The sequence below is a fragment of the Homo sapiens genome, chromosome X, assembly GCF_000001405.40.
Source record: "Homo sapiens chromosome X, GRCh38.p14 Primary Assembly".
NCBI classification, from domain to species: Eukaryota; Metazoa; Chordata; class Mammalia; order Primates; family Hominidae; genus Homo; species Homo sapiens.
In genome coordinates, this window is record NC_000023.11 from 55,474,171 (window position 1) to 55,491,574 (window position 17,404).

The 17,404-nt window shown below is 42.0% G+C and overlaps 1 protein-coding gene and 1 long non-coding RNA gene across 5 annotated transcripts, besides 5 other annotated features; one reads left to right on the forward strand and one right to left on the reverse strand.

The window, feature by feature from the left end:
• USP51 (ubiquitin specific peptidase 51) lies at positions 10,446-15,678 on the reverse strand. Of its 4 annotated transcripts, none has more exons than XM_017029300.2 (3): positions 15,606-15,678; positions 14,999-15,078; positions 10,446-14,818 (listed from the first exon to the last, which is right to left on the reverse strand). In XM_017029300.2, exon 3 carries the CDS (start codon positions 14,767-14,769, stop codon positions 12,634-12,636), a length of 2,136 nt encoding a protein of 711 aa, XP_016884789.1. In that variant the 5' UTR covers positions 14,770-14,818; positions 14,999-15,078; positions 15,606-15,678; the 3' UTR covers positions 10,446-12,633. The 4 variants fall into 4 exon arrangements, with proteins under 4 accessions (XP_016884789.1, NP_958443.1, XP_016884790.1 ...); NM_201286.4 differs by having other exon boundaries at positions 14,999-15,195; XM_017029301.2 differs by lacking the exon at positions 14,999-15,078.
• Positions 14,234-15,093: an enhancer, noted in NCBI's record as "H3K27ac hESC enhancer chrX:55514837-55515696 (GRCh37/hg19 assembly coordinates)". NCBI's record gives its function as "activates a minimal SCP1, AML or CMV promoter by ChIP-STARR-seq in primed H9 embryonic stem cells {active_cell/tissue: H9 hESC(primed)}" and the evidence as "EXISTENCE:reporter gene assay evidence [ECO:0000049][PMID:30033119]".
• Positions 14,361-14,440: a silencer, noted in NCBI's record as "silent region_20866". NCBI's record gives its function as "represses an Ori minimal core promoter by ATAC-STARR-seq in GM12878 lymphoblastoid cells {active_cell/tissue: GM12878}" and the evidence as "EXISTENCE:reporter gene assay evidence [ECO:0000049][PMID:35858748]".
• Positions 14,611-15,050: an enhancer, noted in NCBI's record as "active region_29679". NCBI's record gives its function as "activates an Ori minimal core promoter by ATAC-STARR-seq in GM12878 lymphoblastoid cells {active_cell/tissue: GM12878}" and the evidence as "EXISTENCE:reporter gene assay evidence [ECO:0000049][PMID:35858748]".
• On the forward strand, positions 14,771-17,343 carry LOC101928692 (uncharacterized). Its single transcript, XR_244468.5, has 2 exons — positions 14,771-14,876; positions 15,695-17,343. It is a non-coding gene; the product is annotated as an uncharacterized LOC101928692 (long non-coding RNA).
• Positions 15,271-15,370: an enhancer, noted in NCBI's record as "active region_29680". NCBI's record gives its function as "activates an Ori minimal core promoter by ATAC-STARR-seq in GM12878 lymphoblastoid cells {active_cell/tissue: GM12878}" and the evidence as "EXISTENCE:reporter gene assay evidence [ECO:0000049][PMID:35858748]".
• Positions 15,761-15,870: a silencer, noted in NCBI's record as "silent region_20867". NCBI's record gives its function as "represses an Ori minimal core promoter by ATAC-STARR-seq in GM12878 lymphoblastoid cells {active_cell/tissue: GM12878}" and the evidence as "EXISTENCE:reporter gene assay evidence [ECO:0000049][PMID:35858748]".

The following is a 17,404-nucleotide window of genomic DNA, read 5'->3' on the forward strand; positions in this document are numbered from 1 at the left end:
AGTGTGCTTCAGAGTGTTTAAGAATTATGGACACTTTAGCCATGAACAGTCTATAGGAGGAATCATTGATACAAAGGACCCGATTGACTGACAAAGCAAGCCTTATGTATAGAAAGGAAATGCACATTTCTGGAAACCTGGAAATCAATTTCTACAATCTAAAACCTACTGTAGGTAGAAGTAAAATCCATGCTCAAACGCTTTTGTTGAGAGGATATTTAGTTCAATGTCATTACATTGGACTGATGCCAGGAGGCAATCTAATGTGGCCTTGGGAAGAGGAGAACTGGATATGTCTAAGTAAATTATAAGTCTGGTTGAGTGCTGATTAGCCACTGCACAAAAGAAAAGAAAAAAGGAAGTTCTAACATGGCGGGCAGTTCAGAGAAGAGTTATGACAGAAAAAATAAAAATATCTTACTATGTTGGTGACAGAATGAAACCAGCCAGTGGGTTTTTTTTTTTTTAATGTAGGTAAGTATCTGTGTGGTTATTACTGCTGTTTCTGCATATGCCTTTTAAAAAGTCTTCTGGTTGTGTATGATAAAAAGTAATGATATAGCCAACAAAATTTTAAAATCCAATAAGAATTTTTCTAAAAACAGTTACCATAAATTGCCGTGTCAAAAGACAGAAAGGAACATTATGCTATACCGTTATATTTTTCACATCTATTGTGTAAATAGTCCATTTATTTACTACTATTTGCCACTGTAAACTAGTCCCGTTGTCACCTTGTTTAAACAATGGCATTTATGAAACCAAAGAAAGAAATACGGAATGATATGTAATTGTAAGTGAACTCTTATTTTTCTTATTTTATGTTAAAGGAATAATGCATACATGTACTACTAATTATGACACAATGCTTTCTTGTCTCCAATGGATATATCCAAGGTTGATGTTCCCAAATTTTGGTCACCCCAACCTTCATTTTGTGATTTGTAAGATTTCTAGAAGGTTGCCCTCTCATTTCAGTAGACAGGTATCACAGGCGAGACTGAATTTTAATGGCAAAGACACAGCCATCATTTTATTTCTTTATGAAGTTCCATGAATATTTCATGGCCCAAGTGATTTTTCATTATACAGAAGATATTCCTCAAAATTCTGATATTTTCTGAGCATTTTTTCATTTGCTCTTTGAACACCGGGATAAAGTATTTTTGAATTTTCTGATTTCACATGCATGATGGCATGGGACTGATATATGCTGATCGTTTAATTTCTTCATCATCAATGACAGGACATTTTACTTATTTGAAGCACGAGCATAACAGAACACAATTGTCGGTCTTTGAAATGTCTGTGTTTAGCAATTTCAACTTTTAGATCTGACATTTGAGGGCCATTTGCATCCAACATTGAAATCACTTGCAAACACAGTACACTCTAGTTGGAGAGAGGGATGTTGTGTCTGAGTGTGGAGGTTCAATCCTGACTCTACTATCTATTAGCTGTATGACATTATTTCACCTCATCTGTAAGATGAGGATGGTAATAGTAAGCACCTCTTGCAACTATTTTTTCACTTAGTCGACAGACCATTCTGAAGGTTCGCTATGCTTCTAATAGGAACCAAGGATATTGCAATAAGCAAAAAAGAAAAACTGCCTTCCCTTGGGCCACTTTGATCCTATTGGAGGAGACATCACATGCACATATATTATAAAGTGGGAAATAAAGTCAAATAAAATGAATAAAGGGAAATAAAATGCCCTTTATTCCCTGAGATGGTGGGTTGGGGAAGGCCTCTCTGGGTGATATTTAAGCAGAAACCTGAATGAAGGCAAGGCAAGTCATAGGGAAAGACAGTTCCAGGCAGAGGAATGTGTGAAAAGATCCTGAGAGGAAACTAAGCTAATGCTTTGAGAGGGAGCAAAGAGCTTACATATATTTCGCCTTCACTATGTGTCAGGCTCTGCCCTATGCACTTGCTATTTCTGTAGCTATTGAATTCTGTCCACATCTCTCAAAGATAGGTGGTACTAGTATAATCAGCCTGGTTTTTACCAATGAAGGATTCAAGAAACATTGGGGAAGCTCTGCGGGACATTGGTCTGGGCAAAGTAATAATTCTTGAGTAATAACCCACAAGCGCAGGCAACCAACGCAAAAATGAACAAATGCGATCGCATCTAGTTAAATAGCTTCTGCACAGCAAAGGATACAATCAACAAAGTGAAGCGACAGCCCACAGAATGGGAGAAAACATTTGCAAACTGTCCATCTGACAAAGGATGAATAACCAGAATATCTAAGGAGCTCAAATGACTCAATACAAAAAAGTCTAATAATCTGATTAAAATATGGGCAAAAGATCTGAATAGACATTTCTCAAAAGAAGACGTGCAAATGGCAAACAAGTATGTGAAAAGGTGCTCAACGTCACTGACCATCAGAGAAATGCAGATCAAAACTACAATGAGACATCATCTCATCCCAGTTAAAATGGCTTTTATTCAAAAGGCAGGCAATAAGGAACGCTTGCGAGGGTGTGGAGAAAAGGGAACCCTCGAGCACTGGAGGGTGTGGAGAAAAGGTAACCCTCGAGCACTGTTGGTGGGAATGTGAATTAATACAGCCACCATGGAGAACAGTTTGGAGGTTCCTTGAACAACTAAAATTAGAACTATCATATGATCCAGCAATCCCACTGCTAGGTATATACCCAAAAGAAAGGAAATCACTATATTGAAGAGAGATCTGCACTCCCATCTTTATTGCAGCTCTATTCACAATAGCCAAGATTGGGAAGCAACCTAAGTGTCCATCAACAGACAAATGGATAAAGAAAATGTGGTACATATGCACAGTGGAGTACTATTCTGCCGGAAAAAGAATGAGATCCTCTCACTTGCAACAACATGGATGGAACTGCAGGACATTATGTTAAGTGAAGTAGAATGATGGTAACCAGATGCTGGGAAAGGCGGGGGCTAGGGGAAGTGGACATGGTTAATGAGTACAAAAATATGGTTAGGTAGAAAGAATAAGATCTGGTATTTCGGGCTGACTTATTTATTTATTTTTTTGAGACAGAGTCTCACTCCGTCACCCAGGCTGCAGTGCAGTGTCACGATCTCGCCCCTCACTGCAACTTCCGCCTCCTGCGTTCAAGCGATTCTCATGCCTCAGCCTCCCGAGTAGCTGGAAATTACAGGCCTGCGCCACCACACCAGGCTAATTTTTGTATTTTTAGTAGAGACGGGGTTTCGCCATGATGGCCAGGCTGGTCTCGAGCTCCTGGCCTCAAGTGATCCGTCCGCCTTGGCCTCCCAAAGTGCTGGGCTTACAGGCGTGAGCCACCGCGCCTGGCCCAGATCTGGTATTCGATACCACAACAGGGTGATTACGGTCAACAATAATTAATTGTACATTTAAAAAGAACTAAAAGTATAATTGGAATGTTTGTAACACAAATAAATGATCAACGTTAGAGGTGATGGATACCCCATTTATCCTGATGTGATTATTACACGTCGTATGCCTGTATCAAAATATCTCTTGTACCCCATAAATACATACAGCTACTATGTACCCATAAAAGTTAAAAATAAAAATTTAACATTTCTGTTCTTTAAAAATTATCATAAAGAGAATGAGAAGATGACCAAAGACTGGGAGAAAATATCTGCAAATCATATACCTTATAGAGCACTTTTATCCTTTCATTCCTAGTTTTCTAATATTTTTGTTAAGTTTTAGTTAGGAATGTAGATTAAATTCGGAAAAATACTTTTTTTTCTGAATCTGTTGAGATGATCACTTTGTTCTGTTAATGTCATGAATGAATTAGATTCATTCCTGAATGTTGAACTAGCCTTGTAATTTTTAATGAATATCACTTCATCGTTATATAATATCCTTTTATAGCTTGCTTGATTCAATTTGCTAATATTTTATTGAGAATTTTTGGATCTTGGTTCATGAGGGACATTGGTCTTTTCTGGTAATAAAAGACCAATGTCTTTTATTGGTCTTTTCTGGTAATAAAAGACCAATGTCTTTTATTGGTCTTTTATCTGTGTCAGGTTTGGCTCTTTCTTCTTTGACTCGTGGGTAATTTAGAAATGTGATTTTTTAAGCACCATATAATGGAGACTTTTCTATGTATCTAAATATTATTGATTTCTAATCGGTTGTGAACAGAGGATGTACTCTGTATGATTTTCTTCCTTCGGAATTAGTTAAAACTTGTGTTATGGTCCTAGAATATAGTGTATCTTAGGGTTGGCAAAGTACGCCCTGTGAGCTGGCAGCTTGTTATTGTCAGTTAAGGGTTTTTTTTCTTTTTAATACGGTCACACCCATTTATTTATACATTATTTATGGATGCTTTTATACTAAAACGTCAGAGTTGAGTAGTTTACAAAACCTAAAATATTTACTATTTTTCTAAGAAAAAGTTTCTCAGTTCCTGTATCTTACTGAATACTAAGCACATTTCAAAAGATGTGTACAGTCAGCCCTCCATATCTGCAGGTTACACATTTGTGGATTCAACCGTCAATTGAAAATACTTTAAAACATAAAACAGAAACAAAAATGACAATACAATAATAAAAAGTAATAATACAAATTAAAAAAAATACAGCATAACCATATTCACATAATCGTATTAGGTATTATAAGTTGTCTAGAGATGATTTAAAGTACACGAGCGTATGTGCATAGGTTATATGCAAACACTATATACCATTTTATGTAAGAGACCTGAGCATCCAAGGATCTTGGTATTCACGGGAGTCCTGGAACCAATCCCCTGCAGATACTGAAGGAAGACTGTATTTTATGGTGTACATTAGTGGTGTATTTCATAACTATCGATTACCACAAGTTGGTTCACAGTGTTGTTTAGTCTTCTATATCTTTATTGACTTATGGCCTTTTGTTTTATGAATTATTGAAAGAGCAGTGTTAAAATATCCAACTGTGATTGTGGGTTTTCTATTTTTTTCTTTAATTCTGTCAGTTTTAAGTGTTAACACATTTATGATTTTGAAATAATGCTCTTTGTTTTTGTATCTCTCCTTCTTCATAAATAGGGCATACCAAAGTTTTGTGAGAAAAAAGAAAGAGAAAAGAGCACACGATATGCACTTAATAAATGGTCTGTAATTCTTTGGCCCACTAAGCAGGCAAAGTGCTCAGGGCATCGTAAAGCAAGCCTAGTCAGAGAGAGGTCTGTGCATGTGTGTGGGGAAAAGAGCTGCACCTTTATTTTCACCCACCTCTAACTTACAGTGATCATGTCCTAAAACTATGAGCCTAGGCATGAAACTCCATTGATAGTAGTACTACATGTGACTGTGTCGCCAACAAAAATTTCGGTATCACATTACACTTCTTTCACATTTCTCAGAGTATCACCTATGCTCAGCACTACTTTGAAACTATGGTAGTTATTATACCCATCTTGTGATAGTTATGTAAGGTTTAATTAAAAAAAAAATTTCCTCACATCACAATATCTTTCTAAAAGTACAAAATGCCATCTCCATACAATGCATTTTTATAATCCCGTGTGTTTAGTTATATATATTTATGTTAAAAATATCATTGTCTTAAGGGATCCACCGGCTGTACCAGGATATCAAAGGGATCCAAGGCACCAAAAGGCTGAGGATCCCTACTGTGATGGTTAATATTAGGTGTCAACTTGATTGGACTGAATTGAAGGACGCCTAGATAGCTGATAAAGTATTGTTTCTGGGTGCATCTGTGAGGGTGTTGTCAGAGGAGACTGACGTTTGAGTCCGTGGACCGGGAGAGGAAGACTCATCCTCAATGTGGATGGGCACCATCCAATTGGCTGCCCGCACGGGTAAGGCAGGGCAGATGGAAGTAGGTGGGACAAGCTGGCTTGCTGAGTCTTCTGGCTTTCATCCTTCTCCCGTGCGGGATGCTTCCTTCTGTTCCTCCTGCCCTCGGACATCAGACTCCAGGTTCTTTAGCCTTTGGGCTCTTGACTGACTCAGCATTTCCTTCTAGGTCTGCTAACCCAGAGTGGAGCAACTCTTTGCTTAGCTGTGGCTGACAAAATGCCCTTCCCTAGGGGAGAAAAAGCACGTTTTCCTGCACAAGCCAGTCTACAATTCCAAAGCACTTTCCCTCCGGGTGCTAGTATGTGACTGAGGTTTGGAAGTTTTTTTAGCTCCTTTTTTACCGGACACCTGTTTTCTTTGTGGAGGCCTCTTTATGTAGCCCTATCCCTACTGACAAAGGGGCAGGGATAGAAGGGTCAGGCGTTGGAACTGCAGTCTAATCTGAGTGACATGACCCCTTTTATAATCTGTGGAAACTGCCTTGGTAGTGCTTCTGTGCTCTGAGTGCTCCTTCTCTCTTGATTTGGGAGATATGAGATATGAGAAGGCCTCTTGGAGGAGGCAACACTTGACCTGGGTGTAGAGGAGAACAAAACCAGGGTGGAGGATAGATCCTTAGAGGTTGGTCTAGACCAGGACAGCTTCTGTCGATGCAGCACAGCCTGGTGGTTAACATCCAGTCTTTGTGACCCAGCTCTGTGTCTTAGTTACTATTTATTTTGGAAAAAATAATCAAGTTCTCTGAGTCTCATATTCTTTATCAAGTATAGCCAACAGTAAGACACACCCCACTGGGAGAGCCCTGCCTGATGAGTATTTGCTCAGGTAACAATCCCATGTAATGTGCTGGAAAATATGCTTCCAGAGAGCTAGCACTTCTTATCTGCTATGGACATGTGTGGGTCAAAGAGAGTATTTGGACACTGACACGTGGGACAAGAGATATGACTATTTTTTCTTTTTAGCTTCAACCATATGTAGATAGCAAGCATTTTGCTATCCACCAAATGCTTTACAAAGACTGTTAGTTTTAGTCTCCTCTACAATCCTTGGAGGGCTGTGCACAAGACTCTGTTACTGGCCCAGTGTTGCCAGTTAATAAATGGCAAATCTGGGATGTGATTTCAGCTCAAGTCTTTCTGGTGCCTCAGTCATCTTCTTCCTAGTTAGGCCTCACCACAGGTACCTCATCATAAATAAGTAGAAATCATAGGCCAGTCAGTTTAATTCTCTATTAAAGGGTTGGTGAGAAAGAGGGTTCAAATTGTAAGTTTGCATATAGAATACAGGTGTGTCTTTAAGGGGACTCTTTTAAAAACAGATCAATTTAGGGCATGGTTAGATTCTGGATAAGGCCTCATCTGCATACAAAAAGGATTTTCTACACCTGTCCTTAGATACCAACTTCTCTGATACATTTAAAACATGATACAGTTTTTAAAAATTTGATTTTCTGTGCAATCCCTTCCTCAACTCCACTTGCTCCACCTCTAGCTGCAGTCCCTTTCTCAGATTTGGCATACCCTCCTGGTATAAGGGAAGGGGAAACTGCTCCTAAACGGTAGCCAACATGGCAACATTATGATCTGGATTTTTTGGGAAAGCTTTAACTTCAAATATTCTGTGATTGTTGTTCCGTTATCTGCAAATATCATATATCTCTTTACTAAATGGAATAAAGTAGTAAAATAAGGAATTTTGAAAAAATAAGTCATTTTAACTTAAGCAAAAGTAGTTTCAACAGAGTGGTGCAAGCAGAAACCAGAATGCAGGGAACTAAAGATGGAGCAGGAGGTAAGTGAAAATAATGTATGAAAAAAACACATGTGAAAGAGTTTGGCAGTAAAAGGAAGGGGAGCAAAGGTAATGTATTTTTCTTTTAAACATGATCCCCAAATCTGGATTTTAAAACAGACTCTTGGGTTTCTTCTGGGGATAATATACACTCAGGAGAAGTATTGGGATTTGGAATACTTTTTTTATCTCTTACAGAGATGATGGGACAACATTTTTGAGGAACTACCATAGAAAATCTAGGATGTCTAGTTGCTGGATTTTATCTGTCTAGCAAAAACATGGCTGTTACTAGAATAGAGGGAAGTGTGTAGGAGTAAGGCCCTCTGACTGTTAGGAATGGACGAGAAGAAGGAGGCTAGTGGGTGAAGCTTCAGAAAAGAAGCAGTATTCCTTTTCCTTTGAAATGACAGTGAAGGCATGGAGGATGGATGGAAACTTAAGTGTGTAGATGTGGGTAAATCAGGCATTCTTATGAGATTTTTGATTTCAGAAAAATAGGACATGAAGTCACCTGCTGAAGCTGAGGCTTAGAGTGTAGAACGGAATGTCTTCATTTATTCATTCATATATTCATTCAGCTAGCATGTTAAGTACCTGCCATAAACTGTGGTAGGCCTGTGGGATTTATAAACACATAGGTCCGGCCCTAGCCTGGAGTAGCCACTACTGTGTGTTTGGAAGAGAATCAAGGTAAAGGAAATGAAAGTAATTCAGAAACAACAGAAGCTGTACATTACAAATCAGTATTGGACCACTTGGGTAAGGTCCCAATAGGTAAGTCCCTCCCCGGGCTCGTTGGAGGAGCTGGTGTTGTGGGCATTTTGGGAAGATCTGAGGGAGAGGGGTGATAAAAGTGACACTCAAAGTGATGGCTATGGTGTTGAAGTTAGAAAAGAAGTCTTGTATGGCTAAAGAGCTGATGGTTTTACAGACCGCAAAAACATGAGATCTTACAGTCACGTCTTGGGGCTCAGCCTGGCATATAGCATTGAGTGAGGCTATATGTCTTATATTGGGGGTAATATTTTGGCTTCATCCATCATGATTATCCTTAGGAAAGTCATTTAGCCTGATCTATCTGAATCAGCCATTTCCACAGAAACAAATACCCCTGTAGCATGGGCAACTTTGTGTAGTAGATAGGTTACTCTCTCCTTGCAGGTTACCTGCATCCAGATTTGTCAGAAGCTGCCTTCTGTACCACGCTGGTTTATCCTGTCTTCCATAGCAAAATCAGGAAAAGCAAAAATATATATATTTGAATTATCTATACTGGATTATGATGGGACATGCATGGGCTTTGGGGACCTGCATTTGAATACTGGCTTCACTGATTAGAACAGTAGAGTGAACTTAAGCAAATCACTTTTCTATTCTGATTTTCACTTTCCCAGTTTGCGAAATATGTTCAGTAATGATTGTCTCCCAGAACTATGAGGACCCAGGACCAAGTGAGATAATAAAGGTAAAGCAGTTAACACAGTGCCTGATTTAAATCAGTACTCATATAACATTATTGCTTTTTTTCCCTTTTATTTGGAATAAGCATTTCATTACTGTGAGTAAGGTTTGAAGTCTAGCACAGGTCAGTGGCTGAGCTGAAACTTGCTTCTTAAAGATGTACAGGGACCCACTATAGTTTCTTAATTTTATATGATGAAGTTCATCCAAGGTCACTCCTCCTTCCCTTTTCTCTCTCATGCTTTGTGGTCTTAGGAACTGATGCTCCACTAATCATATAGCTTGGTTAGTATGTTCAAGACCCTTGGCTGCAAATGACAGGATCCCAACTGACAACTAGCTTAAGCAAAACAAAGGACTCTATTGGCTCAGATAGCTGGGAACTTTGGCGCTTCTGGCACAGCTGGATCCACAAGGTTCAAACGATGTTCCCTGGGCTCTTTCTCCCAATCTCCAGTTCTTTCTGGTTTTCTCTTTGTGTTATAGATATTGACCTCTCAAAGTCCCAGAATCAGGTTATCATAGCATAGTGACTACAGCTTGGGGGTGGGATCAGGAGGGAGACACGTTTTTTCTTCCAGTGTCCACATACCTTCAATTTAGCAACAGACTCTGATTGGCCCTACTTGGGCCCTATGCCCACCCTCAGAAGAAATGCTCCTGTGGGAGGGGTACTGGTAGAGGGACAGGGGAATTGAGAACTCTAATCTGGCCCAGCCTGAGTGATGTGCCCACTTGGGGAGGGGTGACAGAGGCAGGGAAAAGTGATCAGTAGCCCCAATAGGTCCACAAAGAATGGCGGGAAAATGAGGGTGCCGAGCAGAAAAATAAACTACAGCTCTTCAATAAACACTGTTACCAGACATCACTCCCTTGTAGTAGAGTGATGATGTGCAGTGTGATGAAGAACACTGTGCAGTGATGAGGTACTACTGTCTCACGGGGAAGGTAAACTAATGTGGTAAACCCTAGAGAGGTGTGGTACACAGTTGTGAGACACTGCTGCTGAGGAACACTGTGATGAGGGGCAGTGTGGCCACACACATGCCAGAGAGCTCAGCCTCACCTTCAGCTGCTGCTCCTCATCCCCACCCAGTCTTCCATGACTGCCAACTTCCAGGCCTGTGCTCTTTTCTCTGCATTGTACCTGGGCCTCCCTCCACACACCTGGCTATTTCTCACTGAGCACCTTTCTTAAGCCAGCCCCTGCAGCTGAGTGCTTTTCATATCCTGCTTTGGGGTAAAATACAATACTGATCACACTGTAGTATAGCACTGGGCATTTAATGGCAGCCTGATGGATGAAGGGGTGAGAAAACATTACTGACAAGGTGAATAGAGCAAATAACTGAACTCATCTTCACATTTAACAAATATTTATTAACACAGAAATGAATAAGGCTTGGCCCCCTGTTCTTAGATGCTCAGTGCAGAGGGGCAGACAATCACAAAGCTACAATAAAATCACAGTAGAATAAGTACTATCACCGAGGTATGGACAAAGTACTTTGGAGGCACAGTGAGAGGAATAAAGAGGGGAAGAGAGGAACAATTTTCTCATTTATACCTGCCTAGAGCATTCAGGGAAGACTCCAGAGAAGTCATCTGTGAGTTGGGTCTTGAAGGAGGAGTAAAAGCCACCAGGTGAATAGTCAAAGAAGGAGCCCTGCAGGCTGGGGCTCAGAGATGTAGGTAAGGCCAGGTAAGTAAGGGGTTCAGGGAACTAGGCATGAGTGACAAAAAAAGGAAATAAAGAGGGAATAAAGAATGAGCAGAAGGACTGCAAGCACAAACCCATTGCTCTACTGTGGAAATTAAAGGTCTTGTTTCTCCTTGGAGGGGGAAGAGGGAAAAAGGAAGGTGGGAAGGCCTCAGATATGGGTCCCTGCCACTTCCTCAATCAGGCCATGGGGCTCAAATACCAAAGCCAGAGCTTCACAGCTGTGATCTAACTTCTCTAAGCCACCAAATTATCAAGAGCCCCTTTTCAGAAGCTAAGAATTTGTATGAATAATGCAGTTCTAAATGGGAAAGTCCCTAATGTTTTCATTTTTCTCAGATGAATTGATTCTGCCTAGGAAGTAATTTGACTTCCTTCAGGATATGAGATGGGGCATGGAATCTCAAGAGGGGAAGGTGGGTTAGTTAGTGTTTAGGCCTTGCAGCCATTTCACAATTGGATGGTAAGATAATGATTAAAATGTCTATTTCCTTTTCCAACGTATATTGATATATCAACATAAAGCTCAAAAAAAAAAATATATATATATATATATACTCACACACCGCTGTCGTTATTCCTGTCTCCTCCATTTATTTCTTTCATACCCGTCTGTATTTTAATATGCTTAAATAAAAAAATAGAACTTCTTAAACTTTTAATTTTAATAATTTTTTCTACTTGAATCTTTCACATTTTTTCACTGGTCAATTTTTATGTAACTGTTTTTCTTTTTAAAAGCTTAAATTTTTAAATCTTTATTTAAATATTTAAAGTTTTCATTTAAATCTCTTGAACTTATCTAAGGTTCTTTTTATTTTACAAGTCTCTATTTTCTTCCTGTATTTTTTCAATTTTTGTCTTTAAACACATTTTGTCTTTTTGTCTTGAATTATTCTAAACTTGCCTCTTTTAAAACTTTTCTCTAAAATCTGAATTGCATTCCATTCTGTATTTTTGAAAATTTATTTCTTAATCATTATAGTAGTAATTTTGTTAACACTTTTTAAATACGTATATTTTATGCTTTAATTTTGAAATATCTATTTATATTATTTTCCTTCATTTGAAACTTTTAAGATGTTCCTTTGTTTCTAACTTTAATTTTTAACAGTATTTTCTTCCTTTTTTTGGTAAACTTTCATTTTTAACCTTGTTCCTTAATTTATTTTACATTTTTAAACTTTAAGAATTTAATTTTCTTTGCTTTTAATTTTTAAAATTCTGAAACTTCTTTAAATTAAAAAATTATTTTTAACTTTTAAAATATTTCTTTTAAAAATAACAACTTAAATTTTTTTCAACATTTAAAAGTTTTTTTCTTTTAAAATCTTAAAAATGATTTTTTCCTTTTTAAATGTTTTTCTTTTAAAGCTCTTTAAACTTTATTTTAAAATATTATTTTTCTTTCAAACTATTTAGCTGGTCAGCCACAGCTGGAACACCAATTGTGAAGTTTTTGCTGATAAAGGAATACTCCCTGACTTCACAAGATATTTCTGTAAAAACAAATGACATAGAGTAGCATCAGAACACTTCTACTCCCGTTGTCCCCACCTAAAGCATTCTTTTCATTTCATTATGCTTTATGTGACCATTTTCAACCTCTTCTCCCTCTCCCCATTTCTTAAGGTTGAATGGTCACTGGTTAGTATTCATTTTTTTCTTCCGACAGACCCATGGGCCATGCTAAAATAGGTTCTTTATATCAAGATACTAGCTGTCACATAGGTGTTACTGTCATTGTCCATTCCAAGTAGGTCTGTGTGTCACTTCAAAATCCTTGCCTAATCATTTACTTTTTTTTCAGTAAGTGGTCTGGTAAGACTAGTCTTTCTCTAGACCCTGTTTGTGATAGAACAGTAAATACCCTTCACTGTAGAGTAAGTCCTCAATGGTAGCCTTGGTGATGATGGCATCATCACAGCTGAACCACTGGTCCTTTTGTTGCCGGATGAAGCTGGTATAGTGGCCACTTTCCAAAGTTCCATGGTGATTAATCACTGCAAACAAGGAATACTTATTCTCATTGGGCACACAATCTGTTGGTGGCTGGCCTTCTTTCATTCTGCTCTCTTTAGTAGAGGCCAAAAACGGAGTCATGTCCAGCTCCAAGGGAAAGGAGATAAAGGTATTAATCTTTCGCCTCTGTTTGCCTACATGCTCAAACCGCTTGAGATGAAAACAAGCCACAATGGGTAATTTTTTCATTGTGAGCTGTTTAGTAGACTCCTGGTAGCTTTGGCAACTATTGCATTTGATTTTGGCACTGCTTCCTAGGTGCTCTGGCCTTGTAAACCACTGTAGACAGTCTGTAAGTGAGGGGATTCCTGGTATGTGGTCATCCCTGCTCACTGTGCTGTCAGCCCTCTCTGGGTTCTGGGAATCGAATGTGGCACAAGAGCCAGGCAAGTCCAAACTGATGTCCCAGCATGGGTCTATGGTGGTAGAAACACTATGGCAGGCTTGACATGTGACATCTGATTGCAGGCCACCTGTAAAGATTTGGTCTATGATGCAGTTACAGCAGTTGGGGTTATTGGCCTCCTGCCCACCACTATCATCTTTGCTGTGTCTATGTAGCACGTCTAATATTGCAATAAGGAACTCATGGGCATCCTGCTGCCTGTACCCTGCTAAATGTTCTGCATGGATCCATATCAGATGCAGTAACTTATAGGGAATGTGAGGAGTTCGGCTCCCAGAGTACATAGCATGAAAAAGCGAAGACATTTCACAGACCAGACACAAGCTGGGGCTTGTCATTATACATTTGTGCTTGTCAGAGAGGAAGAAATCTTTCAGTAGAGGAATATGGGTAAGTGCCTGGACAATACAATTCATAAAACAAGTGTTCCCAAGATTGATTAGCCCTCTCAGGCCTACAGTATAGACTGACTTTTTTCTTCTCTTTTTCTTGGGTTTCACCAATTTTGGCTCCTGTTCCTTTGTCTCACAGGTTGATTGCTTGTCTTCAAACCCTGATGTCATAAACTGTTGATGAGAAACATCTGTTGAGGTGGAAGTTAATAATCTCAAAATTTTTTCTTTTGTTTCTTTGGCAATCTGTTCTATGTCTTTGTCATATACATAATCCTTACACATGAAGCAATATATGACCCCATGATAAAGGTCTACAGCTAAATGGTGCTGCTTTGTTTCTGCATGTTTGTGAATATGTTTCTCAGTGAAGCAGCCAAAAAAGACACAGGAGAGACAAGAGTGGAGTCTGTTCATATGGGTACTACATACGTGACAGATGCATGACTTTGCTTTACGTTTCCTAGTCTCTGGGGTCCCACTCCAAACGAAACGCTGGTAGATCAACCTCAGGTTCTTCTGCCAGTTCTTACCTACTTTAAAGCTCTCCACATGAGAGCAGCCTGTGGGACCCTGACCAAACTCGACCTCCAGCAACCAGTCCCCTAAGCCGCCAGGATCCCCCGACCCGTCTAGGTCACCAGAGCAGCTTCTCCGTGTCTGAGGCCTGGACCCAGGCCGGGATCTGCGCCGGGATCCACGCCAGGCCCTGGGCCGCGGTGCGGGTGGGGGCGGGGGTGGCGGCGGGGGCGGGGGCCGGGCTGGAGGCGGGGGTGGGGCCGAGAGCCCAGGCTGGCTGCGGGAGCGGGCCCGGGGCTGGGGCCGAGGGCGGGGCTTGCGGCGCGGGCAAACGGGCGAGGAGCTGCTGTGACAGCGAAGGGGGATTGAAGGGAGCACCTTCTCGTCGCCGCCGCTGCTGCTCCACGTCAAGTTCTCCTCCGGCGCGGGCTCACGCTCTTGTAATGGCTCCAGCTTCATCTCCTCGGCTTCACGTCTCGAAGACGCCTTCGTAGCCCCCGCCGCCGCCTCCTCCATTTTCCCCGCCTTCTCAACCGCCTCCTCAGGAGAGGCTCCTCCCCCACCTCCGGAGATCCAGCGGACCCCAGAGCCGGAGGGCAAAGAAGTTTCTCGAACCTGGGCCATCAGATCACTCCCCGACCTGAGGAGCAAGGCGTCTGGAAAACAGCTGCGACTGTAGATGAAAGGAGACAGAGACTTCTGTGAATGATCTGCCCAGCGTCATGGCCGCGGTGCGCAGTTAGCGCCCCCAGGACCCCTCCCATCGGCCCTTGAGCTCAGCCCGCGGCTTCTGTCGGCTCCACCCACTCAACTGAGAGGCCCCTGGAGCTGATGGGGAGACCGAGGCGGTTACCTGCTTCAAAGGCGATCAGATCATGCCAGGGGACTGGGAACAGAAGGCTAGCGAGCGGTGGGGGTGGGGAACGGCCTGAGCTTTAGGACAGAAAGGATGGAAACTTCTTTAAAAAAGGCGCCACCCTCTGACTGCTTTTTTGCGCCCTGCGCAGCCTCGCTTTGGTGCAGCTTCCTCTGACGTTCTTTCCCTGTATCCTAAAAAACACTTGGGTCAACATTTTCTCTCCAAAATGGCTGAAAGGACGCACTTTTGGAAAATGAACTCACAGGAAGAAAGTGTCCCTCTGTTTCTACCTAACCTATACTTCTGTGACCCGGTGTGTTCCACTCTAAGCCGTTGCCCCTCAGCGCACTTTCGGTCCACCCAGCTCTTGCGCCCTCTCACGCTTTTTCGCGCTTGTGCTCTCACACCCCTTTTCTTGCTTCTGCGACTTCAATTCCTATGATTTCTCCTAGAATTCGGATTACTACTCCCTCCCTTCACGCATTTGCCACCTCTATGGCCACCACTATCCTCGCGCGACCCCCGAAGTCTCCGCTCCCTTTTCCCTCTCCTGCCCCCGCAACACCCCCAGCCCGGCAGTTTGTTTAAAGGTCTGGGTTACCTTGGGCCCCAGGCGCGTGATATAGAACGTCAGCAACTGCTGCTGTCCAGGCGCTCCTCAGCCAGCCTTCTCTCCTGACCTCTCCTCAGGGCTGGTCACAAGGGGGCCGCCCCCTGGCCCCTCCCCTCTCGACGTGCGGCCCCCAACCCCGGATTCTGCCCTCCTGCAGTGATGAATGGCACCGCTGTCCCGCGCAGGCAGGCAAACCTCTTCCTGAAACAGACTCTGCTGGAGGCAACAGCAGCAACAGATTCTACAGAAAGCCCCTGAAATGGAGGCTCAGGCCTCACCTAGCTCCAGGCCCGCACTCCACAGAAAAAAAGATTCACCCGGCGTGGGGGTGGGGGCTTCCAGAGATGGCAACCCTCTGGCAGGAATCCCTCAGGATCCTGTCAGAGCCTGGTCTCTGGGAGTTGACGGAGGGAGGGAGGGAGAGAGAGAGAGAGAAAGAGAGAGAGATTATCCCAGAATGTGCAGGGGAGGAAGCATAAGCAAGGGCTCAGGCTCAGAGAGACCTGAGCCCAGGCACATGCTTGCTGTGTGACCTCGGATAAAACACTTAACTTCTCTGAGCCTTAGTTGTGTCAATTTTTAAAGAGAAATTGAAATAATAACCCTAGCCCAATGTGAACACTGAGTCATAGTATATATCAAGTAAAAGACCTTTTTGGCGAGCTTTATCTGTCACACCTCTTTTTTCAGTCCGCTCCTGAAAATCAGCATAGAGAACAACTCCTGATGCAGAGTAGAGGAGAAGAGAATGCCTTTCTCTTTCAAAGCTCTCTCAAAGTTATGGCTCAGTTCACCCGATCATCCATCCTAGGCAGTCCATATACAGGAGCATGTATTCAACAAAGATGCCATAGGTGCATTATAGCGCTAGATTGTGCTGGGAGAAGCACAAGATACAACTGTTTGTGTCCTGAAGTCCATACGCCAGGAGACTTTTCCTTTTCTTTGACAGATCCGGCATCCAAGGCGACAACCCGGAGGAAAGCTATCTCCAGGGCTTGTTGCCCTTCCGGTCCAATCCCAAGAAAATTACGGTTTATTACAGCGGATGTTTAATGCTACATTTAATCTCTCTGAGAAAGTCACACACCTCCCCTCAAAACCTCACGATTAGGATTCAGCTCTCTTAACTTGGCAGTGGCATCTAGTGGATACCTCCGCACAATGGATATCACTGATTTTGTGACTTGGTTTAGATTCGACCATATCTCAGTCACATACTAGCACCCGGAGGGAAAGTGCTTTGGAATTATAGACTGGCTTGTGCAGGAAAACGTGCTTTTTCTCCCCTAGGGAAGGGCATTTTCTCAGCCACAGCTAAGCAAAGAGTTGCTCCACTCTGGGTTAGCAGCCCTAGAAGGAAATGCTGAGTCAGTCATTTGCTAGCTGTGCCACCTGTGGCTTGGATCCCAGCTGCTCTGAGACAGCCCTGCACCCTTTATGCAGGCAGGGAGGCAGGGCACAATTTATAAATACTTCTGTCTTCTGAGCCTTCGCTTTCTCCTGTGCAAAATCAGAATCATGAGAATGCCAGCCCTACCTAGATTGGTTTATTCAGCAGATATGTAAAGAGCACCTACTGCTGCACTGGGCACTATGAATATACAGCCAAACAAAACTGGGCACAAAAGCAAGTAAGCCAGAGTCCCTGCCTGAGGTCCACATCGGGAAATGCATAGGAATGTGCTGTGAAGATTAATGTTAGTTAATAAAGGCCTAAAAACCACTCGTAATCAACAACTTAATATTTGGGAGGTGGGATTGTTACAGTGCTTCAAAAAGTTTCT

What these genes read in the sequence shown, in the direction of transcription:
- USP51 (XM_017029301.2), bottom strand. Translation starts at nt 14,769, where the DNA reads ATGGCCCAGGTTCGAGAAACTTCTTTGCCCTCCGGCTCTGGGGTCCGC.